Source organism: Homo sapiens, chromosome 7, assembly GCF_000001405.40.
Source record: "Homo sapiens chromosome 7, GRCh38.p14 Primary Assembly".
In the NCBI taxonomy this organism is placed as follows: domain Eukaryota; kingdom Metazoa; phylum Chordata; class Mammalia; order Primates; family Hominidae; genus Homo; species Homo sapiens.
This window is the reverse complement of record NC_000007.14, coordinates 108,271,832-108,298,312: the sequence shown is the minus strand read 5'-3', so window position 1 is coordinate 108,298,312 and position 26,481 is coordinate 108,271,832. Positions and strand designations below refer to the sequence as shown.

At 38.7% G+C, this 26,481-nt stretch overlaps 1 protein-coding gene across 105 annotated transcripts in view, besides 1 other annotated feature; it reads left to right on the top strand.

Moving 5' to 3' along the window:
• Positions 1-26,481, top strand: part of NRCAM (neuronal cell adhesion molecule) — a 309,072-nt gene that overhangs the window by 158,408 nt on the left and 124,183 nt on the right. For 6 of the 105 annotated variants that reach the window (NM_001371162.1, NM_001371139.1, NM_001371126.1 and 3 more), the window contains exon 4: positions 297-450. The exons of the other annotated variants lie outside the window; for them this stretch is intronic. The gene's annotated coding sequence lies outside the window, so the exon portion shown is untranslated. The remainder of the gene's footprint in view (positions 1-296; positions 451-26,481) is intronic. 105 annotated transcript variants of the gene reach the window in all.
• Positions 23,532-23,732: a silencer, noted in NCBI's record as "peak6682 fragment used in MPRA reporter construct". NCBI's record gives its function as "represses an SCP1 promoter by STARR-seq MPRAs in K562 erythroleukemia cells {active_cell/tissue: K562}" and the evidence as "EXISTENCE:reporter gene assay evidence [ECO:0000049][PMID:32103011]".

The window sequence follows — 26,481 nt, the reverse complement described above, 5'->3', positions numbered from 1 at the left end:
GAGCCCCTTACATTGTCACACCCTAAAACTATCTCCTCATATATCCCCCACCTGCTTAGATTATAATAATTTCAGTAATGCCTTCTAGACAATGATCATGTTAAATATGTACTTGTTTCTTTTAATATGATTATTGGTAATAAAGTATAGCTTTGCAACGTGGATTTTATTTAAATCCGTATTTAGTTTTATTAATGATCTCCAGATTATAAAGTGTTTTATTCTGGGTGTTTTACTGTTTCTTTGTCTTAATTAAGCTTGTACAAAGCCAAAGCCCTGTCCTGACTCTGCTGCAGGTGGACTGGCCTCCTTGATGCCCCATGAGCAAGCCAGGATGCTCCCACCACAGGGTCTTTCACCGAGGCTCCCTCTGTCTGGAACACTCTTCCTGCACATATCCCCATAGCTCGCTGCTTCTTCTTTAGGTCTTTGCTCAGATATCATTTTCTGGTGAGTTATTTCCTGAACCTGTGGCAAGAAAGTATATTACGCATGTGCATATACACACACATACGTGCGCATGCACACACACACATTGACATGTTGGAACCCCTGTACCCCTTCCTTTGTTTTATTTTTTTTCTCTGTAATACCACCTAAGAAACTATATAATTTGCAGTTGTTGTTTTTTTTATGTTTCCCTCCCTTTAGAATGTAAGGTTTGTGAGGACAGAAACTTTGGACTATTGTGTTCATGAATGTATCCCAGCACCAAGAACACTGCCTGGCATGTAATAGGTACTTAATTTGCTCAATGAACAAATGAATGAATGAATGATGACTTATGAAACATTAAAGTTTCAGCTCTTTGTCAGATAATGAAAGTTTCATCCCTTTGTCAGATAATGTTGTTAGCTAATTAAATGCTGCTTTAATTTTCTGTGACACCCTGATTTCTAAAGCTTTAGAAATGGCATTTTTTTGGAACTCAGCTTACTCACAAATTCTGCTAGCAGGAGGAAAGGGTATTGTGGCTTTCCATTGTTAAAATGCGGAGGTAGAGTTGGAAAACAATCAAAAGAAATGTTCCTCTCATTTTTTGGACCAAATGAACAAATCTAGCATTTGTTTTTGAGAGAATAAATACTCTTCAAAAAGAACAGAAACTGTTCTCAAAATCTTTGAAGTATGTCACTGATCCTTTAACCAGTAGTTGGAGAAGCAAGTATCCTACTGACAAACACAGGCTTTGTGGGGTTGAAAGCCGATCATAAGTTTACAAAGACTGATTGGGCCTTTGGCTTGTGACTAATGCCTGGCACTGACACAGAGGAGGCTCTTAATCGACACAGCCACATATATTTTAAGTAAAAATGCTTGTTCTCAAAGAAATTAATTTTTTTGCCTAGTACCCTCTTTCGGGTTAAAAGAATGCATTGCTCAGGATGTAAATAACATTAATAATTCTGTCAAAGTGACATCATTTTCTGTAATGGTATAGGGAAACGGATTATTTGGGGAGAAGGATTCTCGTTATTTGTTTCTTAGAGATTTTTCTTTTAATAATTAATTTAATTTGCCAGTTGTAAAAGCACAAGAGATCATATGAATAAGAACAATGTTCCTAATGGCCTTCTAATTACAGGGTCTGTGTTTTGTAGTACTAACATTAAAGCCAACATGTTTCTTATTCATACAGTAAAAAATATCTATTCTCAAGACCTGATCCAGACCCTGCATTCATATTTGATATCAGGGTATGAAGACCCCCTACAATCCCCCTCCCTCCAAAAACCATCCTGACCTGCTGGCTAATGCCTGAACTTCTCCTCCTAGGCTTGGTTTCCTTAATTCAGTTCTATATTTATTGAGTTGCTACTGCTTCAGTCACATATCAGACATGGCATTAGCGCTCTGAGTCACCTGTATATTCTTCCATGTGCCAGGGACTTTCTGCTCTGATCCTTGCTGAAATGAAACCTCTGAGGTTTCATCCATAAGTAATACTTTAGTGGCTCTACTTCAGTTCTTTCTAGGCAAAGATATTAGGATATTAATAGCTGAGGAGAGGGGTAAAGGCCAGTACCTGTGTAAGAAAATGTGCACGATTGGAAGAGACCACAGAGAAGTTTTCCTAGCTTCACAATTACAGAGGCCCCACTTTGTCCACTAGTTGTAGGGATAAAAGGATACCATTGCTTGAACACCTGTGGTTCTCTGAGTAGTTGGCATGCTTTCTCCATCCTTCTTAAGACTGTGGAGTGTGTGAAAGTACTTCAGGCAGAAGTGTCTGACTTCCATCTATAACTGAGTGAAACAAAGAATAGCCTTTGCTTCTTCCAGACACCCTCTGGGAACTCTCCGCTAGCTCAAGTGCACTCCTTCAGCAAGCGCAGTGAAGCCCTTTTCAAATGCAGTCATGTGCAGAACCCCCCATATACAAAGCAGAGGGAAGTGGGGTTGCTCCAGAGCCCCTGTTCCTCACCACTCCTCTGTGCCCTGCAGAGGCTCTGGTCCATGATGCTGTGCCCTGGTTGAGGACACTGACCACAGAGGTACTTTGGTGGTTGTCACAAATGCTGTTCTCCACTCATGAAGATGGACTGTTTAGCACTGTTTTCACATCTGCGGACTCAAAAGTCAAATAACTTAGACAATGTGAGTCTTGGCTTTGCCAATAACAAGAAACAATGAATGCTATGAGGTGAATGTTTGTGTCCCCCCAAAATTCATATGTTGAAGCCTAAATCTCTGATGTGATGGCATTAGGATGTGGTGTCTTTGAAAGTTGATTAAGTCATGAGGTTAAGCCCTATTGGATGGGATTAGTGCCTTTAGGAAGAGGCCCCGGGGAGCTGTCTTGCCCTATTCTACTGTGGGTGGACATAGCAAGAAATTATCTGTGAACCAAGAAGTAGGTCTTCATCAGACATGGAATCTGCCAGCACCTTGGCCTTTGATTTCCCAGCCTCCAGAATTGTGACAAGTAAATTTCTGTTATGTTACCCTGTTTATGGTACTTTGTTATAACAGCCTGAATAGACTAAGAGAATGGAGAAGTAACTTAGCTGCTGTAGACCCCACTTTACTCATCTATAGAACATTTGATTTTAGAGAGGTGTAAAAAAGTTAACATATGAAAAGTGCCTAGTACAGAGCGAGCCCTCTGTAAAGAGTAGTTGTCATTTTAAAATTAAATAAAACTTAATCCCAAATGACACAGAATTCTTCCATTTTAGGGGAAAAATACAAAATCAACAGATTTAATGAGGGCTGCAAAATACTTGACAATCTCTTCATCATTTAATCACTTTTTCACCCATTCTTAACCCCTGTTGTTATTAGTAGTTCTGTACCAAATCATATATGTCATCACTGTGCCCCTTTTTGCTATAGACAAAACGTTTTTCATGTGTGGTGATGCAAATGTGGACTTTAGGGATACTAATGTAATAATGAGCCAGAAGTTAATGAACAGGAAACTGAACAAGAATGGGGCAGACAACTTGGCACCAGAGATGGCTGCGGGGCAGGAAGTATAAACTAAGCATGTCCAAAAAAGGGGAAGTGATTCGGAAGACCGTAAGGGTGAGCTAGACAAGGGGCTGCTTCTGGATCCACTGAGAACAGACTAGACTGCATGCCAAAGGCAAAACATAAATGCAAGTCCCTCTCCTCACAGCACACAAATAGAGTTTGTGATGAAGTGCCCATTTTCCTTCCCATTGCACAAGTAGTCTGTGTACAATTTACCTAAGCCCTTGGATATGTCTATTTTGTTTATTCTTGGTTCAAATGCATTCGTTCTATCATCTAGAAAATTACACATTCCTTCAAGGCAGGGACAGTGTCATTTGCTTTATATCCCTTTTAATATCCTTGACTTCCATCTGGGTGCAAAGCAACATTCAGCAGGAAAATGGAAGCCACTTTAGGAATTTTGAACAAGGAAATATACTGGAAAAGCTGGAACTGCAACAGGGAGAAAGAGGGGTGTTGGAGGAACATAAAGGAAGAAGAGGTGATCCCCAGATTCGAAGCAGTTAGCCCTTCTGGGCAGGAGCCCATGAGCTTGTTCCTGAAAGTCCAAGTGGGTTGGTGACACTTGAGTTTGACTGTGAGTTCACTCAAGAGCTGCTGTCTCAAAAAAGGAAAAAAAAAAAAAAAAAAAAAAAAAAACCAGTAAAGAAAGTGCTGGCTTTTCCTGGGCTGCTGGAGCCCAAAATCACATCAACCCTACTGCTCCTACAGCAATTGCCATCAACTGCCTCATTTTAAGATTCAGAACCAAGAATCTTTTGTCTTTATCCTGCTTTCTTATTGCTCACCAGTACCTCCAATTAGCAGAACCCAAGGGAAAGACAACTAGTAAGAGTATGAGAAATTTAGGGTGCAAACTCCTGGCTCCAGTAGTATAAGGTATAGAGGAACAGGTGTGGGCTAAAAGACAATAGGTGAATTAATCAGCACATGTGTGATAGTGGAAAGAGCCCTGAGTTTAAAATTAGAAGACCTGAAATCAAGCCGGTATCTAACTCACAGTAATAATGTGATCTTATACAAGTTACGTAAGCTCTCTGAGCCTAAATCTCTCATTTGTAAAAAGAGAAGAATAATAATAATATCTTGCAGAGTTTTGGTGAAGACTAAATGATATAATACATATGAAAACCTTTTAGAAATGATAAAAATGTCTGTGAATTTTAGTTACTTTACACAGTCCTGTTGGCAGTTATCAAATTTACTGCTTAGGAGACAATCATAAGGGTTTTAAAATAATCTACAAAAGATTTCTGCCAGTATCACAGTGTACTGCCTGCACTTAGACTTCCTTTATGACGTAGGAAAACATGACTAAATTAGGGGAGACGTGAGATCAGCGTTGCTTGTCAATTTAGCAGATTTAAAAATGTTTTTTTGCAATTCTCTTCTGATGGGTCATATCCAAAGATAAGCAGCTGAGCCCTCTTAGCAGCAGGAAGGAAGGGCAGCTAGCCTTGGGTTACACAAATGAACTTATTAAGGCGATTTATAAAGCCATCTAGTTAATCAGAAAGGAGGGGAGTGAAAAGAGCCTTTCTTAGCCAAGCCGTGATCGCCCGCTGGACAATTAGAAGCACAGTTTTCATGATACTGTTGTAGTCCTCAGTTGGGGTCAGGCCTATGAGCTAGGATACAGCTGGTGGGTGGATGCAGTAAGGCTGTTAATTAATCACAAGGGGGTGGAAACCAAGGATGAGGCATTCACACCGTTTGATTTTCCATGGCCCCTGTTCCACTGCATTGACCCCCGTTTTCTGGGTTGACCTCTGTTAGATTTCTATGAATTGTTGCATGTTAGGTCTTCATTTACAAGTTACCAGTGGAGTAACTTGTAAATGGATTTTAGCAAACCATTGATTTGGGCCTTCATCAGATAAAGATTGGGTTTAATGTCTTTTAAATATTTTACAGTAAAATGCTAGCTCAACCAGTGTAGGAGATTTGCTGGATTTAGCTATTCATTTGTGCTTTTAACACTCAGCTGTTTTACGCCAGTTAAAATAACAACAGCTAATTTTTTCCTAATGCTTTCTCTGTGTCAGCCACCATTCTAAGCACTTTCCACTGACTCACTTAAACTTCGTAATAACCCTATGAGATAGGAGCCGTGATCCCCATTTTTACAGATGAGGAAATTGAGGCATACAGACCTTAAGTAACTTGCATAAGGTCAGTTAGTAAGTGAGGAGCTGGGCTTTGAACCAAGGTCAGACTGGTTCCAGTGTGTATTCTTGACCACTAGGAAGCATTGCCTCTCAAAAATTGAAACTGCTGTCTCTACTGGTTTGATGATTTTTTACTTAACTCTGTGTGACATATTTAACAACACAAACTTTTGTGGATAAAACATACTCCTGAGTTAGTAAGCAAGTCTCTAAAACTTCAATTGCATCCATGTTTTCAGGTTATCCTTTCTGACTTTGATATTGTTTCAGTATTCTAACACTGGAAATTAAAATATCTAAACCGTTTTTTCACAAGTAAAGAAATGTGCTACATAAAAGGACCAGAATAAGCATCTAGTGCCAACAGAAACTTGGACATATTATTTTACCGATTAGGAAACAGTCCCAAAGGGACCAGAGCTACTTAGTAGCCATGCAAGGTCTAGACAGCATCTGGCCCTGGATGTATTTCTTACACCCAGAGCCCTGAAGCCACATAGCACTTTTAAATTAGTTGGTACCATTTTAAAAAACAGTTGATTTCATATAAAAGTTTGAATTTCTGGCTAAAAGAAAAATGAAGTGATCTGCAAAACTGGGTGTATATTTCCCTGACCACTATCAGCTAAAGCTGAGTAGCAGCACCCTGCACTGTTTAAGCGGGGCCCCAGTGCCCTTTCCTCCGCTGCACAGCTGTATTCTTTAGCTTTAACTGCTTGGCCCCCTTAGGCATTTGAGTTTGAGACCACTAAACTAATTGGAAACAAAGACTTTCTGATTTCTGTCAGGTTGTCTTTGTGTAACACCACAGTGTTCTTTCAGAAAATTACGGCCATTTAGATTTCAGATCCTTTTTTTAAATGTTTTAGTTTAAGATTATAGTCAGGTTGCAACTCCTCTTATGGAGTAATAAAATTGTGTCTCTTCCTCTATACTTTCTTTTCTCTTCTCTCTCTGTCGCTCTGTCTCTCTTCCTCTCCTGTTCTCTGTAACTTAGAGAATTTGTGGTGATATATTAGTTTCAGGCACGGTCAAAAGAAACATTGATCACTGTCTTCATTTAGATGCATTAAGTATATACATACATAACAAATATACTTAAAAACCAGTCAGTGATAACTATCGTTAGCCAGTCCTGACTCATGCTTACCTGTCAAGAAAGACACATTTGAGAAAGTACAAACTCTTTAAAATCAACTTGTCTTTTTCTATGTTGTTATGCCAGTCATTACACTGTATTAATCTCTGGTTTTCTAATTATATAGCATCAGGCATATGACCTCTAAGCATTTGCTTGTTCGCTGGCTATTTTTAACTAAAAAATAAATTGCATAATGAAACTAATTCTATTTCCCATTGAGATAGTGCATTTTGAATTACTCAGAAGGGAGTCCAATTAAGTAGTATTTATCCAAAGTAAATGCAGGAGATAATAAAATATTTCCATGGCATGTTTAATTCAGAACACTCATGCTATGTAAATTAATTTGGTGTTGGATTGAGGTTATATGGAGGAAGGAGTTGCCCAGAAATGCAGCCCTTTTCTTTTGATCTTCTATATTTTATCTGTCAACGACTGAGTGACTAGATTCTGGACTCGCCGGTTTTCGCATTGGAAATGTGACTAATCCCAAGTGGTTTTGTTCATTTTCTCTGAAAGATTTCTCTCTGAAAGTGCCCAGATGTGAGCACTCTTAACTCCAGCTTTGTAATGCTGTTTATCTGGCAGCAGAAACCCTATTTGCAATAGTTAACTATCTTTTTTACATTTGCCATGGTCCAGCAGTGCTGCAGAGCTTTGAGGCTACAGTAGCGAGTTGATGACAATCAGCAGATTCTAAAGCCTTTTCAGAACCCTGAAAGAATAGATAATGATAGTACATAATGCTGAAATGACAAAAGACATAATGGATAGTCAAATGTTGATGCAATTTAGCTTCTAAAAAACGATTACAGTTCATTTTCTTTGATTATCTTTTTCAAGTTTTAACTTTAATTCTTTATTGTTTAAGTTCTGTAAAATGGCATTCAGAAAAACATTACCACATGAAATCTGTCGGAAATGTTTAGATAGTTGTAATCACAAAGAGTAGAAATGCTTGCTTTGTACTGTACTGTTGACCCAGCTCTGTCCTTCTCTGAGAGTTGCTGATTCAACTTTTTAAGGATCTAAATGATTCCTTTTTAAATGTTTGAGGAAAATGGTTTTTAGCTTTTGTGTCAGATAAGAATGGTGTTGTTCCCATCTGAATGAGTTAAACCAAGTACAGTAGTAGTATGTTTGCTCAGGACAAGGAAGTCTGGTGGTCAGCAGTGGGAAAATACGGCACCCAACACATCATTTTAAGGGCAGATGATCCTTTTTGCTTTCTGCTTTTTCCTCCTTAGTTTGTCTTCCTAGTCCTTATTCTTTCAATTTGACTACTGGTAATGCCCACATAGTATGCAAGAAGATTAGGAAAGGCAAAAAGGATGCACGTCTCATGACAGTATTATTTTTCTAACTGACAAATTTATTGGATTTAGCTAACATTGAATGTTAACCTTTGTTGGCTTTGAGATGCAGCCTTTGAAATTTGTGAGATTAATGTATAAGCCTAGTTATTATTTAACCTGCCAAGTTTATATTTAGTAACACCATAGGCTTGCTCCAAAAGTAGGGAATCTCTTTCTCTTCATGGGCTTCTTTTTTGAAAAGAAGGAGACTCACAGTACCATTTTTTATTATATTACAGTTGTTCTCAAACCTTAGTGTGCATCAGAATCACCTGAAGGATTCACTGCAATACAGATTCTAGTCCCCAGCCCCAAAGTTTCTATTCAGTGGGCTTGGGGTAGGTCCAAAGAATTTGCCTTTTTAACAAGTTTCCAGTTTATGCTGATGCTGGGGGTCTGGAGACCTCATGTTCAGAACCCAGTGGGTTAGAATAATTTTCTATTACAAGTCAAGATTCTTGCTAGTGAGGAATCTAGATAAGGCTTTAAATAAAGCCTGAATTTCTGTGACATAGGTATTGATGGCATTTAATTCAACAACCATTTCTTGAGTGCCTCCCATGTGCCCAACACTGATGACACTACTAGTCTTGAAAAGAGAAAGATGAGTCAAAGATTCTGCCCTTAAAAAGCTTATAAACAGATGTTAGTCAAAATTTACAAAATTTTAGCTAGATGGGAGGAACAAGTTCAAGAGATCTGTTGTACAACATCGTGACTATAATTAAAAACAATATAGTTTTCTTGAAAAATACTAAGAGAATACATTTTAAGTATTTTCACCACACGATGACAGCTATGTGAGATAATACATGTTAATTTGCTTGATTTAGCCATTCCACAATGAATATATATTTCAAAACATGTTGTACATGGTAAATATACACAATTTTGTGTCAGCTTTAAAAAAGGCTTACAAACATGCTTCAAGTACCTAAATGACTACACTTAAAAGGCAGAGAATTTATCTATATGTTTTCTATTTATACTGTTGGTAGTGTATAAAGGATTTTTAATGGAATACCGAATTCTTTGATCATACTATTTCAACTCTTCCAATGGTTATTTTGCATTTCTATTTGAAACAGACAGTTGTATCCTGTGATCGCTCCAAGTCCTAGATAACTTTTGTTTCAGCGAAGTTTCAGCCCCGTTCAATTCATGTGCTATTCCAATCAGGCTGATCTTCAACCCCCTACCCCACCCTCAGAAAAATAAAAATATAGAAAAGCCATTGCAAGTAATAAAAGAGACCCAAGGTCTAAATCATAACCGTTAGCCAAAGAAATGAATAATATCTCCTCCAAAGAAGGAAAATTACATCTGCTTCAAAAATAAAAATCACAAACAAATTCAGTAGTGATGGTCTATATGGTTAGTTACCTGTTTTCTTTTTGGTGGGAGAAAACACTTTCCCTACTGTTACTGGAAAGACTAATGGAGAACTCTCCCGCCTGCTAATTGTTAATATATTCTAGGAAGCATTTAAATAGAAGTGGGACAGGTTCTTATGTAATTTAAACTGTCTACCAACCTGAGAAAGGATTTGTGTCTCCAACAAAATATGCTGTTAAATAAAGATAGGGGTATGCAATAACGTATGAATTGATGAGAAGTGAGCTAAAACATAAGTTTCTTATTAAATCTAAACTAATTGGCATATAAAGATGCATGTACATTAGTTTACTTACAGTTCTCAAAATACTACACTGATGTACATTTTCCATATACCTTTGAGTAGCCATTGCCAATATATGCAGTTGTTAAAAATTTTTATTTTTATGGATTTAGGGGTACAAATGCAGTTGTGTTACACAGATATATTGCATAGTGGTAAAGTCTGGGCTTTTAATGTTACGCATCACCCCAATAGTGAACATCGTACCCAATAGGTAATTTTTCATCCCTCATCCCCCTCCCACTCTCCCACCTCTTGGAGTCTTCAATGTCTGTTATTCCACTTTGCATATTCCTGCGTATCCATTGTTTAGCTCCTACTTGAAAGTAAGAACATGTGGTGTTTGACTTTCTGTTTTCAGTCATTTCACTAAGGATAATGGTCTCTAGTTCAATCCATTCTGCTGCAAAAGACATTATTTTATTCTTTTTTATGGCTGAGTAGTATTCCATGGTTATGTGTATACGTATGTGTGCATGTATATACGCTACATTTTTTAAATCCAATCCATTGATGGACACTTAGGTTGATTCCATAACTTTGCTATTATGAATAGTGCTGTGATAAATATATGAGTACAGGTGTCTTTTTGATAAAATGATCTTTTTTCCTTTGGGTAGATATCTAGTAATGGGATTACAGGATCAAGAGGTAGTTCTATTTTTAGTTCCTTGCAAAATCTCCTTACTGTTTTCCACAGAAGCTGTACTAATTTACATTCCCACCAACAGTGTATAAGCGTTTCTTTTTTTTTTCCCACATCCTCACCAACATCTGTTGTTTTTTTGACTTTTTAATAATAGCCATTCTGACTGGGTGTTAGATGGTATCTCATGTGTTATTGGTGACATTGTTATTGTCATGACACAAATGGTTTTCATATTCATTTTTATGATTAGTGATGTTGAGCATTATTTTGTATGTTTGTTGGCCACTTGTATGTCTTCTTTTGCAAAATGTCTATTCGTCTTCTTTCCCCACTTTTTAATGGGATTATTTGTTTTTTCTTGATGAGTTGTTTGAGTTCCTCATAGATTCTGGATCAGTTTTGCCTTTGTTGGATGCATTGTTTACAAATATTTTGTCCCATTTTGTAGGTTGTCTGTTTACTCTGTTGATTATTTCTTTTGCTGTGCAGAAGCTTTTTAGTTTAATTAAGTTCCATTTGTCTATTTTTGTTTTTGTTGTGTTTCCTTTTCAGGACTTAGTCATAAATTCTTTGACTAGACCAATGTTCGGAAGAGTTTTTCTTAGCATTTTTATAGTTGTTCCATATTTTTAGAGTTGTTTATATATATTGTTATATATTTTTATAGCTGTTCATTTTTATATCTTCTTCTAGCATTTTTATAGTTTCAGGTCTTACATTTAAGTCTTTAATCCATCTTGAGTTAATTTTTGTGTATGGTAAGAAATAGGGGTCCAGTATGATTCTTCGGCATATGGCTTTTCAATTTTCAAGCACTATTTATTGAATAAAGTGTCCTTTCCCCAGTGTATATTTTTGTTGACTGTCAAAGATCAAGAGAGTATACTTAGAAGAGCTTGAATAAACAAACCTCTTTCACGTGCCTTATAAAAATTACCCGTTTAGGATTTCTTAAGATTTAAAAACTCAATGTACTGGAACCTCACTATGTAAGATGTGCCTAAACATAATAAAAATATCGTATCTGATTCTACGGACATTAAAGTGGAATGGAAAAACTGTGGGCTATGGAGTAACACAGACGTGGCTTTGAATTATGGTTCTTCTATCTACAGCCATACCACCCTGAGCGTGCCTGATCGTGTCTGAATTATGGTTCTTCCACTTAATAGCTGTGTCTGCAAAATGGGAGGGGAAACACTTACTTCACAGGATTTGGGAGGATTAAATAAAGTAAGGTACAGAAAGTACTTAGAAGAATGGCTGATACATGTTAATCATTCAATAAATACTTCCTTTTCCACATCAAATCTTTTTTTCTTTTCTCCTATTCCTTTTCTTCCACCTCCTTCCTTTTTTTTCCGCTTTCTTCTTCCCCTACTCTTACTTGTTCGCCTTTTTATTTTTATTTGTTCATTCCAGTGAGTATTGTTCTACATAAAGGAATCATTTCACTGAATCTCTATCATCATTTTCATTTATTGAGGATGCACTTAATTTCTGAAAAGATCATTCACGACCAACACCATGCTAGCAGATAAGGCTTATAAATACTGCTCTACACAGTGGATTGCAAACTACTGCTGCTGGCCACACCTGTCCCTTTTCCTATTTTGAGCCATAAATTTTTTTATGTTTTTAAATTGTTGAAAAAGAAAAAAGGAATAATATTTCATGATGTGAAAAATTACATGAAATTCAAATTTCTGTGACCATAAATAAAGTTTTACTGGAACACAGCCATATGCATTTGTTTAATCCTATGGCTGCCTTCATGTGGTAATGACAAAGTAGTTTCGACAGAAACTATAAGGCTTACAAAGCCTACTATAAGCCATACATACGTTTTTGACCCTTTCCAGAAACTGTTTGCTGACTACTATTCTGAAGGAATGAAACATATGTGCATTTTAATTTGGTTTTGAAGCTAGCTCTGAAAGGAGAGTTTTGTGGTAGAAGCTGTAGTAGCAGGGCTAGAATCCATATTGAGCTTCCTAAGGTAACTATGTGGATGGGAGGTTTCAAAGAGATAGATGGTGGAGTTTCTGATATAATTGTATACACAAACAGACAAAAATCCATCTCTCTGCTCTTCTCATCATGTCATTAACTCCTGACAAAATATAGTGAATGATAACTTTGTCCAAAGGAGTTTTGTTTCTAGCTTCCCAATGCTTTTAGACAATTCTGTCTCTGAAGCAATCAAGACACTAGTCTGGAGAGACTGGTCTAGTAAGGTTTCACTGAAACAAGCCCCATTAACAGTTTGGACCTGAATCCTTCCCCCTACCCTAGTTAGTCTGTTATCCTTGGGAAATCCATTGTCTCCTCTGAGCAAACTGGGAATTCTGTTGTTTCTCTTTAGGACTAAGACTGACCAGATCAAATATCCATTTTGAAAACTATTGTAAAGCTTTTTTTCAAAACAGATTGAAACCCATCACATATTCCCTGATAGTACCCCCTGATAGAGCCAGTACCTGTATTTGTGAATAAATGCACATTGTTCTTCAATTAAATACAAACAGCTATTCCTGTGAGGATTAGTGGTATAGTATTTTGCCCTAAAGGAATGGAAGTGAGTGAACAGGAAAGGGTGGAAGGTCTTTTTGTTGTTGTTCTTGCAGGCATGTGGAAGACATGACACAATCTGTTATTCAGTGACTGAGACTGAGGGAGGAGACTGAGGAATAAAGCCATTGGGTGGACTTAGAGCTCAGATGGTTTAGCTAGACAAGCCAATGGATTTAATAAGAGAACACTGTCCATCAATTGCATTGGTGCTCCTGACTTTTCGTAATAGCATCTAATTCCTCTCCTCTCTCAAAGTCTCACCCGTCTGTTGTTCACATTGCTGCTTCAGTCATTCAAGGAGTAGGTGAATGAGCCCTTCTACCCACAACTCTGATTAGTCATTCATTTGCTGGAGTGCTAATTATGTGCCAGTAGCTGTGCTAAGTGCGTGCAGCACAAAGCAGAACAAGAAGTGTGTCCTGCCCTCCCCAGCGAGGTGCTTACAGGCTCCCAGTGGAGACAGACTTGTAAACAAGTGTAGTGAAGTAGGGTGGGTTTCTAATGTATGTCTATGCGAGTGAAAATCACTTCCTGGGGACAGACAAGTAAACTAACAGTTGCGGTTCCGTATAAGCTTTGAGTTGGGCACAGAGGAAGAACATCTGTCTCAGAACAGGGAGTCTCAAAAAGCTTCCAGGGAGAGGATGGAGACTTAAAGAATGAGAAGGGGAGGGGTGTGAGCCACACAGAAGTGAGCAAGTGTCAAATCATAAGGGACCTTATGTGCCAAGTAGGAAGTCTGAACATTAACTTGGGAACCGCAGGGCCCTGAGCAGAGGAGTCATGTGATTAAGGTTTTGTAAAGATGCTCTGGAAGCTGTGTGGAGAATGGACTGGAGGGTACTGACTCTGGAGGCAGAAAACCTTGTTAGAGCTTTTTAGGGTATCCAAGTCTGGCCTGCAACACCTAAATAAAGAAAGTAAAAGAGGTTGAGAAGAGAGACTCACCTGAACTGGGTGACTTCTTAAGGCGGTGAGGGAGAAGGAGGAGACAGGAGTGTGGATGACTTAGGTTTCAGCTTGGAGTCCAAGCACATGAGAGTAGTTCAAACATCAGATGTTTATAGTAGGAACAACAAAGACAAAGTAGAATAGAATTTTCGGACAAGAGACATTTAAGAAATGTGATATAATTTGGAAATGAGAGGCTGGGCATAATGGCTTACACCTGTAATCCCAGCACTTTGGGAGGCTGGGATTTGAGACCACCCTGGCCAACATAGTGAAACCCCGTCTCTACTAAAAAATAGAAAATATTAGCCAGGTTTGGTGGTGTGTGCCTGTAATCCAGCTACTCAGGAGGCCGAGGCAAGATAATCACTTGAACCCAGGAGGCAGAGGTCGCAGTGAGCCAAGATCGCACCACTGCACTCCAGCCTGGGCAACAGAGTGAGACTCCATCTCAAAAAACAAAACAAAACAAGAATTTGGAAATGAGTGACATATACAGGATGAATGGAGTAAGAGAATTGTAAGGGGAGCTGGAAAAGGGACATTCAAGAGCTAAAATGTGAAGGAAGATTGTGGAACCAAAGGGAGTGGAACACTGAAAAGAAGGTAGCAAGGGGTCAACAGTGCCACACACTGCAGAAAAGCCAAGTGAGACCACGGTAGATAATATCATTCTCTGTACCAGGAGCCTCAGACTTAGACATTCAGGACCCTCCTGGAAGTGATCCAGCCTTTTCCAAACCTATCTCCTTTTACTCCTGACATCTGTCGAATTGAACCATTCTGTTTCCCACGTGTGCCCCTCATTCGCATCTCCTGCTCCTTTTCCTTTCCTGGAACAAGTGCTTCAAAGTCCACATCAGATGGCATCACCTTCAATTGTGACTAATCTGGCATTCATCTCTCCCTTTCCTTGGCAATCATAGCAATTTTTCTGTACATCTCTGTGACACAAATCACTTTCTACCAAATATTATGATCACTCATGTAATTGTACTTTCTGCTTAGTTGCAAAGCACACAAATCATATTTGCAGAATACTTTGAAATTCAACTGTTAGGTCATACTAAAGACAGTTATGTAATAGTCTTTCACTAACAATCTGAAGAATTCTAAAACCAACTTCCCACCACCAAAATTTAGCTCTTAGAAGCTTAATGATGTGTGATATGAAATCAGTATAGCTGACTTTCTCACAACATTCTTACATTGTTTGTTCATTTTCTTAGACAGTTTTAACTTTGATTACAGAAAGTCAGTATACTTAGAGAGTAGGGAACAGAGAAGCATTTTTAAACACTGGTTTTTAAAGTAGGCTGCATATTAGAATCATCTAGGGAGTTTTAGAAATCCTGGTGCCCAGGTCCCACCCCCAGAACTTCTGATTTAATTGATAGGGCCTGTGGCCTGGGCACTGGGAGTCTTCAAATCTCCCCAGGCGGCTCTAGTGTGCAGTAGAGTTTGAGAACTACTGTTTTTCAAGTTCACTTGCATTTGAAGGTCGTGTCTTTTACTAGTGATGACTAATTGTTTCTACGTTGAGATGTGTATGTAGTTATAAATTTGTTTTTAACTGTCATGTATTCTCTCTTTTTCTCCCTGTGCCCCCAATTCATGAGAGAACAATCCGCAAAGGATGACTGACAGAGCTCTTATCTCTGCCAGGAGAGAAATACCAATTTCTTTTATAAATGGGTTGCTTTGGCCAGTTGCCAGAAAACAACAAAACCTTGAATATATAAAAATGTCTAGCTTGATAGAAAATACATTTGATTTTACACTAAAATTTTGAGGTACATTAACATTGTTCCAAGTACCAAATAGAAAAATAAGCATGTTAACTTTATTCTTAGCAAGTTCCAGGTAAGCAAAAATTTCTTTTAAAAAAATAGGTAGATGAGTGCTACTGCCCCAGTGTTATATGTTTCTGGTAATCATGTCTCCAGAAAGAAAATGTGTATAGATTTCTTTCTTTAAAGAGAAATGAAAGAGAAAGAGAGATAAGCACTGAGGTATCCATCAGCTCATCCCAGACATTAGTAAAGTGCTCCAACTTGTGTTTTACAGGAGAAATCCTAACAGTGGTTTCCTGCTTACATTCTCTGTTGGAAATCTTAATTTTAGTCCTTTCATTAGAAATGGTATAATAATATCTTTTGTTCTTTATACTGTACTTTGTTATACTACTAAGTTTGTGTACTCTTTATAAAGAGATGGGTACATCCAGAAGTACTAAATAAGTGATCATACATGGCTGCTTGTTATTTAAGCTATTCCATATTTATGTAACTGTTATGTCAGACAGGACTCACAGGGGGCAATGACATAACAACTTTAATTTTTCCCACAGTTGCTCCTACACTTCTGCTCTGTGGGGCAGTTCTGCTCCTGGAAGAAATCTCAGACACTTACTTCACCCAATTGTGTTTAATCAAAAATCTTCCAAACATTTGAATTCCTGAAACACTCCCAGTTTGGTTATTATTACATCCAGTTTGCCCATCAAAACTTCCAACTGTGTTCGCAGCCAAGGCTTTGCCCCTTCCCCGGCTCAGGCCTGCTGGCATGGTCAGAGAAGCCCCAAGCTTGGCAGCCATCTCATGCTGATAGCTCTGAGTTCCCTGGAGACCCTCCATTCCCCACACCCCACCTCCCAACTGCCACTGGGGCTTTACCCTGCCTTTCTGGTGGGTCCAAGTGTATAACCCCTCCCTTAGCTCCTGGGCAGCCAGCTAGACCCCTCTGCCATCCTTTCAAATTTTTGCCAAGATCCAATTCACATATTTCCTATGCCATGAAACCTTTTTGATTCATAATCTCAAGATAGCTTCCTTTTCTCTGAACTCTCATAGCACGTCATGCCTTCCTGTACCATTTATCCCTTTATTCCTTGTATTTTAGTAATTTATGGCACAGTCTCCTGTTATCTCCCCTACTATACACGGAACTTTTTGATAATGCTCATCATTCGTTTTTTTATTGCCCACAGTGTTGGGATTAAAAAAGAATATATTAAAATAAAAGTAAAGGCATTTATAAAATGTGTAGTTAGGTTATTATCATATTTAAAGTTCATGTTATATATGTAAACAACTATATAATTGAAGACAAGAAATTACTCAGGTATTGAATTTTGCTCATTTCATCAGGTTAAGAGGAAAAGGTAGATTTATATTTTATAATTTTTTAGATATTTAAAAATGGAAACAAATACAGTCATTCAAAAGCAATTTAATTTAAGCTGTTATATGAAGTAATTATCATATTTATTGTGTTATACCAAAGAGCAGACAGCAGATTATTTCCTTTACAAAAGGAACCCATATCTAAAAACTGTTGGGACTTCAGAACAGGTTTTTCATCATTTAATTTTTAAATATTGAATACCTTCCTGACTTTTAAGAGCTTTTAGCATAAAAGACCATTGCCTCCCTGTCTACCTTCCCTGTCTTCATGCAGAAGATAATTCATTTTTTTTACTTGATATTAGTGAGCATACAGACCCAGACTAAAACCCAGCTTATTATATATTTAAGAAATCATATTAAGGTGGCATTTGTGTCTTCTTTATAACAGCTGCGCTGTGTTGCCAGATCCTTTATTTCATTATGTAAAATACAATGACATTGTTATTTCCCCCAGTCCAGTTAAAAATGGACAACGGTCAAACTATTTTCAGTAGCACCAAAGAAACTAAATATGAGAGTTCTAGGTTAATCTCATCATGATTTTTGAGACAGTTCAATGAAAAAATTCACTTCAGATATATTTAGGGTTTCATCTTTCATTGCTGTCCAGTGGGAGGTCTCCATTCCAACTCTTACCATTCTGTGAGTTCAGTCATTCTTTTTAAAGGTAGTTGTAGCACAATTGAATAGCATGGGCTGACTGCTGGATATGCTTAGGGTGGTAGTTCTTGGCCATCCAGTAATTCTTTATTTACTTATCAAAACTGCATTGGCAATCGTCCTTGGCAGAGAGGGAGTAAGAGAGGCTTTTACCTCACATATGAAGCCTCTTCCTGTTTATTGCAGATTGCAGCTTGTTCTGGTGAAAGGAGCCAGAATTGCTAGCGCTTCTAAGTTCATTCGCCTGTTGGGAAGAATAATTTTATTTTGAGCTACCAAACAAAATAACTGTGAACCTACTGATGTTGAGATCAGGCCAGCTTTTAACCTACAGGATTCTGTTGGTGTCTTTTTATTCTGGGCTTTCATTGTATTCACTATTAAATGGTTTGGATACAAAAATTACCTGGAGAGACCTAAGATTTGTTTTTGATGGTGAATGTTGGACCAGGCTGCTGAAGCGGAGTGTGCAGCTGAACATGTGGGACACCAGTGTCCATTCTGCATTGATGCTCAGACTCCTCTTTAAAACACTCCGCCCACATTTATGTAGCTGTTAAATTACAAATAATACTCTCCTCCTTTAAGCAGCATAAAGATGGTGTTGCAGGCTGGGCATGGTGGCTCATGCCTGTTTTCTCAGCACTTTAGGAGGCTGAGATGGGAGGATCACTTGCTCAGGAGTTTGAGACTGGCCTGGGCAACACAGTGAGACTTCTGTCAAAAATTGGAAAAAAAAATCAGTTGGCTGTGGTGGCACATGGTTGTAGTGCCAGCTACTTGGGAGGCAGAGGCGAGAGGATTCTTTGAGCCCAGGGGTGGGGTGGGTGGGGAGGGCAGGGGGGATGGGGGAAGGCGGCAGGTCAAGGCTACAGTGAGCTATTATCGCACCACTGCACTCCAGCCTGGGTAACGGAGCAAGATCCTGTCTCAAAAAACAAACAAACAACAACCAAAAAAAAACAGTGTTGCATAAGTCACACTGTGGGTGAGGGCATAAATCTCCCCAATTCCCAAACTTCCAGATAGAAAATATATATTTTTCTGTATTTATGCATATATTTTGTACTTTGAGAATATCAGTGTTTAAAGGCACATGAAACAAACTACAACAATTATGAAACACAAAACAGGGTTCTGTTAGATTTGTGAGTATGTAAAAATGTCAAATATTTTCACCAACAGGAAATAAAAACAAAGGAAATAAAATTGATAAAACTATTATTAATCTCAAGGAAAAATCTGCCACTATCATATTCATGTAATCAGAGACTTTCCAGCGATTTTAGTCATGCTACACTTATGCCAGGAAACCCACTCAGATTAACACCAAATAACTCATCTCTTACCATATAGTCTTTATCTGGGTGTGTTTTCTCGTCACCTGGTATAATGGAAAGAGTGCCTTCTAAGCAGACAACCTTCTTTCAGTGGCTTGGCCTCTTACTTTCTATATGGGCCTTGACAAGACACTGCTACTCTTCAAGCCTCAGTTTTTTCATCTGTAAAATGGGAGTCCAAGTTCATTATTCCTTAAGAGGAGTTTTAGAATTCAGGATTATTGGAGTCGCTTCCAAGATGGCCGAATAGGAACAGATCTGGTCTACAGCTCCCAGCAAGATCGACACAGAAGACGATGATTTCTGCATTCTGCATTTCCAACTGAGGTACCTGGTTCATCTCACTGGGACTGGTTGGACAGTGGGTGCAGCCCATGGAGGGCGAGCCAAAGCAGGGTGGGGTGTCGCCTCACTGGGGAAGCGCAAGGGGTCAGGGGGATTTCCCTTTCCTAGCCAAGGGAAGCTGTGAGTGACTGTATCTGGAGGAACGGTATGCTCCTGCCCAAATACTGTGCTTTTCCTATGGTCTTCACAACCAGCAGACCAGATTACCTCCTGTGCCTGGTGTGGCAGGTCCCACGCCCACGGAGCATTGCTCACTGCTAGTGCAGCAGCCTGAGATTGACCTGGGACCCTGGAGCTTGGTGCGGGGAGGGGCGTCCGCCGTTGCTGAGGCTTGAGTAGCTGGTTCTGTGCTCACCGTGTAAACAAAGTGGCAGGGAAGCTCAAACTGGGCAGAACCCACTTCAGCTCAGCAAGGCTTACTGCCTCTCTAGATACCACCTCTAGGGCAGGGCATATCTGAACAAAAGGCAGCAGACGACTTCTGCAGACTTAAACGTCCCTGCCTGACAGCTCTGAAGAGACCAGTGGTTCTCCCAGCACTGCATTTGAGATCCGATAATGGACAGACTGCCTTCTCCAGTGGGTCCCTGACCCCTGTGTAGCCTGTCTGGGAGACACCTCCCAGTAGGGACTGACAAACACCTCATACAGGTGGGTGCCCCTCTGAGATGAAGCTTCCAGAGGAAGGATCAGGCAGCAATACTTGCTGTTCAGCAGCCTTCGCTGGTGATACTCAGGCAAACAGGGTCTGGAGTGGACCTCCAGCAAACTCCAGCAGACCTGCAGCGGAGGGGCCTGTTAGAGGGAAAACTAACAAACAGGAAGCAATAGCATCAACATCAATGAAAAGGACATCTACATCAAAACCCCATCTCTAGGTCACCAACATCAAAGACCAAAGGTAGATAAAACCACAAAGATGAGGAGAAACCAGAGCAGAAAGGCTGAAGATTCCAAAAACCAGAAGGCCTCTTCTCCTCCAAAGGAACATAACTCCTTACCAGCAAGGGAACAAAACTGGATAGAGAATGAGTTTGACGAGTTGACAGAAGTAGGCTTCAGAAGGTTGGTAGTAACACACTTCTCCGAGCTAAAGAAGCATGTTCTAACCCATCACAAAGAAGGTAAAAACCTTGAAAAAAGCTTAGATGAATGGCTAACTAGAATAACCAGTGTAGAGAAGACCTCAAATGACCTGATGGAGCTGAAAACCACAGTACAAGAACTTTGAGAAGCATACACAAGCTTCAATAGCCTATTCGATCAAGCAGAAGAAAGGATATCAGTGATTGAAGACCAAATTAATGAAATAAAGCGAGAAGACAAGATTAGAGAAAAAAGAGTGAAAAGAAATGAACAAAGCCTCCAAGAAATATGGGACAATGTGAAAATACCAAATCTACATTTGATTGGTATACCTGAAAGTGACAGGGAGAATGGAACCAAGTTAGAAAACACTTTTCAGGGTATTATCCAGGAGAACTTCCCCAACCTAGCAAGGTAGGCCAACATTCAAATTCAGGAAATACAGAGAACACCACAAAGATACACCTCGAGAAGAGCAACCCCAAGACACATAGTTGTCAGATTCACCAAGGTTGAAATGAAGGAAAAAATGTTAAGGGCAGCCAGAGAGAAAGGTCGGGTTACCCACGAAGGGAAGTCCATCAGACTAACAGCGGATCTCTCTGCAGAAACCCTACAAGCCAGAAGAGAGTGGGGGCCAATATTCAACATTCTTAAAGAAAAGAATTTTCAACCCAGAATTTCATATCCAGCCAAACTAAGCTTCAAAAGTGAAGGAGACATAAAATCCTTTACAGACAAGCAAATGCTGAGAGATTTTGTCACCACCAGGCCTGCCTTACAAGAGCTCCTGAAGGAAGCACTAAACATGGAAATGAACAACCAGTACCGCCACTGCAAAAGCATGACAAATTGTAAAGACCATCAACGCTATGAAGAAACTGCATCAATTAATGGGCAAAATAATCAGGTAGCACCATAATGACAGGATCAAATTCACACCTAACAATATTATCCTTAAATGTAAATGGGCTAAATGCCCAAATTAAAAGACACAGACTGGCAAATTAGATAAAGAGTCAAGACCCATCATTGTGCTGTATTCAGGAGACCCACCTCATGTGCACAGACACACATAGGCTCAAAATAAAGGGATGGAGGAAGATCTACCAAGCAAACGGAAGCAAAAAAAAAAAGCAGGAGTTACAATCTTAGTCTCTGATAAAACAGACTTTAAAACAACAAAGATCAAAAGAGACAAAGAAGGCCATTACATAATGGTAAAGGGATCAATGCAACAAGAAGAGTTAACTATCCTAAATATATATGCACCCAATACAGGAGCACCCAGATTCATAAAGCAAGTTCTTAAAGACCTACAAAGAGACTTAGACTCCCACACAGTAATAATGGGAGACTTTAACACCCCACTGTGAATATTAGACAGATCAACAAGACAGAAAATTAACAAGGATATCCAGGACTTGAACTCAACTCTGGAACAACCAGACCTAATAGACATCTACAGAACTCTCCACCCCAAATCAACAGAATATACATTCTTCTCAGCACCACATCGCACTTATTCTAAAATTGACCACGTAATTGGAAGTAAAACACTCCTCAGCAAATGTAAAAGAAAAGAAATCACACAAACTGCCTCTCAGACCACAGTGCAATCAAATTAGAACTCGGGATTAAGAAACTCACTCAAAACCGCACAACTACATGGAAACTGAACAACCTGCACCTGAATGACTACTGGGTAAATTACGAAATTAAGGCAGAAATAAAGATGTTCTTTGAAACCAACGAGAACAAAGACACGATGTACCAGAATCTCTGGGACACATTTAAAGCAGTGTGTAGAGGGAAATTTATAGCACTAAATGCCCACAAGAGAAAGCAGGAAAGATCTAAAATCAACACCCTAACATCACAATTAAAAGAGCTAGAGAAGCAAGAGCAAACAAATTCAAAAGCTAGCAGAAGACAATAAATAACTAAGATCAGAGCAGAACTGAAGGAGATAGAGACACGAAAAACCCTTCAAAAAATCAGTGAATCCAGGAGCTGGCTTTTTGAAAAGATCAACAAAATTGAGAGACCGCCTGCAAGACTAATAAAGAAAAGAGAGAAGAATCAAATAGATGCAAAATAAAATGATAAAGGGGATATCACCATCGATCCCGCAGAAATACAAACTACCATCAGAGAATACTATAAACACCTCTACACAAATAAACTACAAAATCTAGAAGAAATGGATAAATTCCTGGACAAATACGCTCTTTGAAGACTAAACCAGGAAGAAGTTGAATCTCTGAATAGATCAATAACAGGTCTGAAATTGAGGCAATAATTAATAGCCTACCAATCAAAAAAGTCCAGGACAAGATGGATTCCCAGCTGAATTCTACCAGAAGTACAAAGAGGAGCTGGTACCATTCCTTCTGAAGCTATTCCGATCAGTAGAAAAAGAGGGAATCCTCCCTAACTCATTTTATGAGGCCAGCATCATCCTGATACCAAAGTCTGGCAGAGACACAGCAAAAAAAGAGAATTTTAGGCCAATATCTGTGATGAATATCGATGCAAAAATCCTCAATAAAATACTGGCAAACCGAATGCAGCAGCACATCAAAAAGCTTATCCACCACGAGCAAGTTGGCTTCATCCCTGGGATGCAAGGCTGGTTCAACATACGCAAATCAATAAACGTAATCCATCACATAAACAGAACCAGTGACCAAAACCACATGATTATCTCAATAGATACAGAAAAGGCCTTCAACAATATCCAACAGCCTTTCATGCTAAAAAACTTTCAATAAATGAGGTATTAATGGAATGTACCTCAAAATAATAAGAGCTTTATGACAAACCCACAGCTAATGTCATACTGAATGGGCAAAAACTGGAAGCATTCCCATTGAAAGCCAGCACAAGACAAGGATGCCGTCTGTCGCCACTCCTATTCAAAATGTATTGGAAGTTCTGGCCAGGACAATCAAGCAAGAGAAAGAAATAAAGTGTATTCAATTAGGAAAAGAGGAAGTCAAATTGTCTTTGTTTGCAGATGACGTGACTGTATATTTAGAAAACCCCATCATCTGAGCCCAAAATCTCGTTAAGCTGATAAGCAACTTCCGCAAAGTCTCAGGATACAAAATCAATGTGCAAAAACCACAAGCATTCCTATACACCAATAACAGACAAACAGAGAGCCAAATCATGAGTGAACTCCCATTCACAATTACTACAAAGAGAATAAAATACCTAGGAATCCAACTTACAAGAGTAGTGAAGGACCTCTTCAAGGAGAACTACAAACCACTCCTCAGTGAAATAAAAGAGGACACAAACAAATGGAAAAACATGCCATGCTCATGGATAGGAGGAATCAATATCCTGAAAATAGCCATACTGCCCAAGGTAATTTGTAGATTGAATGCTATCCCTATCAAACTAACACTGACTTTCTTCACAGAATTGGAAAAAACTACTTTAAATTTCATATGGAACAAAAAAGAGCCCACATAGCCAAGACAATCCTAAGCAAAAAGAGCAAAGCTGGAGGCATCACGCTACCTGACTTCAAACTACACTACAAGGCTACAGTAACCAAAACAGTGTGGTACTGGTATCAGAACAGATACAGACCAATGGAACAGAACAGAGACCTCAGAAATAACACCACACATCTACCACCATCTAATCTTTGACAAACCTGAGAAAAACAAGCAATGGGGAAAGGATTCCCTATTTAATAAATGGTGCTGGGCAAACTGGCTAGCCATATGTAGAAGTTGAAACTAGATCCCTTTCTTACATCTTACACAAAAATTAACTGAAGATGGATTAAAGATTTAAATGTTAGGCCCAAAACCATAAAAACCCTAGAAGAAAACCTAGGCAATACCATTTAGGACATAGGCATGGGCAAAGACTTCATAACTAAAACACCAAAAGCAATGGCAACAACAGCCAAAATAGACAAATGGGATCTAATTAAACTAAAGAGCTTCTGCACAGCAAAAGAAACTATCATCAGAGTGAACAGGCAACCTACAGAACGGGAGAAAATTTTTGCAATCTACTCATCTGACAAAGGGCTAATATCCAGAATCTACAAAGATCTTAAACAAATTTACAAGAAAAAAACAACCGCATAAAAAGTGGGCAAAGGTATGAATGGACATTTTTCAAAAGAAGACATTTATGCAGCCAACAGACATATGAAAAAAAGCTCATCATCACTGGTCATCAGAGAAATGCAAATCAAAACCACAATGAGATACCATCTCACACCAGTTAGAAGGGCGATCATTAAAAAGTCAGGAAACAACAGATTCTGGAGAGGATGTAGAGAAATAGGAACGCTTTTACACTGTTGGTGGGACTGTAAACTAGTTCAACCATTGTGGAAGACAGTGTGGCGATTCCTCAAGGATCTAGAACTAGAAATACCATTTGACCCAGCCATCCCATTACTGAGTGTATACCCAAAGGATTATAAATCATGCTACTATAAAGACACATGTACACTTTTGTTTATTGCGGCACTATTCACAATAGCAAAGACTTGGAACCAACCCAAATGCCCATCAATAATAGACTGGATAAAGAAAATATGGCACATGTATACCATGGAATGCTATGCAGCCATAAAAAAGGATGAGTTCATGTCCTTTGTAGGGACATGGATGAAGCTGGAAACCATCATTCTCAGCAAAATATCACAAAGACAGAAAACCAAACACCACATGTTCTCACTCATAAGTGGGAGTTGAACAATGAGAACACATGGACACAGGGAGGGGAATATCACACACCAGGGCCTGTTGGCAGGTGGGGGGCTGGGGGAGGGATAGCGTTAGGAGAAATACTTAAATGACGAGTTGATAGGTGCAGCAAACCAACATGGCACATATATACCTATGTAACAAATCTGTATATTGTGCACATGTACCCTAGAACTTAAAGTATAATAATAATAAAGAAAAAAATAGAATTCTGGATTATTTTTAGTATTTTTATTTTTGAAAGATAACATGATATATAAATATATATAATCAAAGTGATATATATATGTTACCTTTTTAAAATCAAAATTCTAAAAATAGGGTGCTATGTATATAAATATATAAAAATATGTATAACATATATAAATGTTTTATAACACCCCCAGTGGGGTCTAGAACAGTACCCTATGATCAAACATATTAGTAACTCTTCAGTAAAACGTACAAACATTTACACTTAGTGGGATAAATAAAGATCGTCAACTGGTCAGGTTTGTCATCAAAACTTGCATTTTTCAGAGCTTTTGGATAAATGATGGTGAGCCTGCACTAACCCCTACTTTAGGAGTGTGTGTGTTCAGCAAAGAGCAGTTACTGCCCCAATAGTTGCTGGTGTTTTTACTTAAATTAATGGCAGATAATGTGGATCTCATCTTTTACAAAAATTGGAATGTGAATAAAGAAATTCTATTCGATATACAACTTTGATTCCTACTAGACTTTATAAAAGACCATGTGATACTTTAAAAACAGTGGTGAAATTCACTCTTCAAGAAGATAATACTCACAGGAGGGCATAAATGCCTTCTTGAGTAATTTTAGATCCAGATATGTTACTCTGTTCTGAGATGATTGATAAGATCAGAATTATAAATTTAGAATAGGAAATGAGGTTTCCATTACATACAGTTAAAATTAGTACCAAGACATTTTTAGCTTTTTCCCTTTTTGCTCATAAGTCTTACTTGAGGGGATAAAATCAATCACTTCATTTGTTCAGCTAGTGTGGCTGAACTCTCTGAAGTGACTTATGTTTATGCTAAATTTTGCTTGCTAGTTTATGCTCCATGTGACCCCAGCCCAACAGTTTTCAGCATATGTTATGCCAGGAAGAGTGTGAG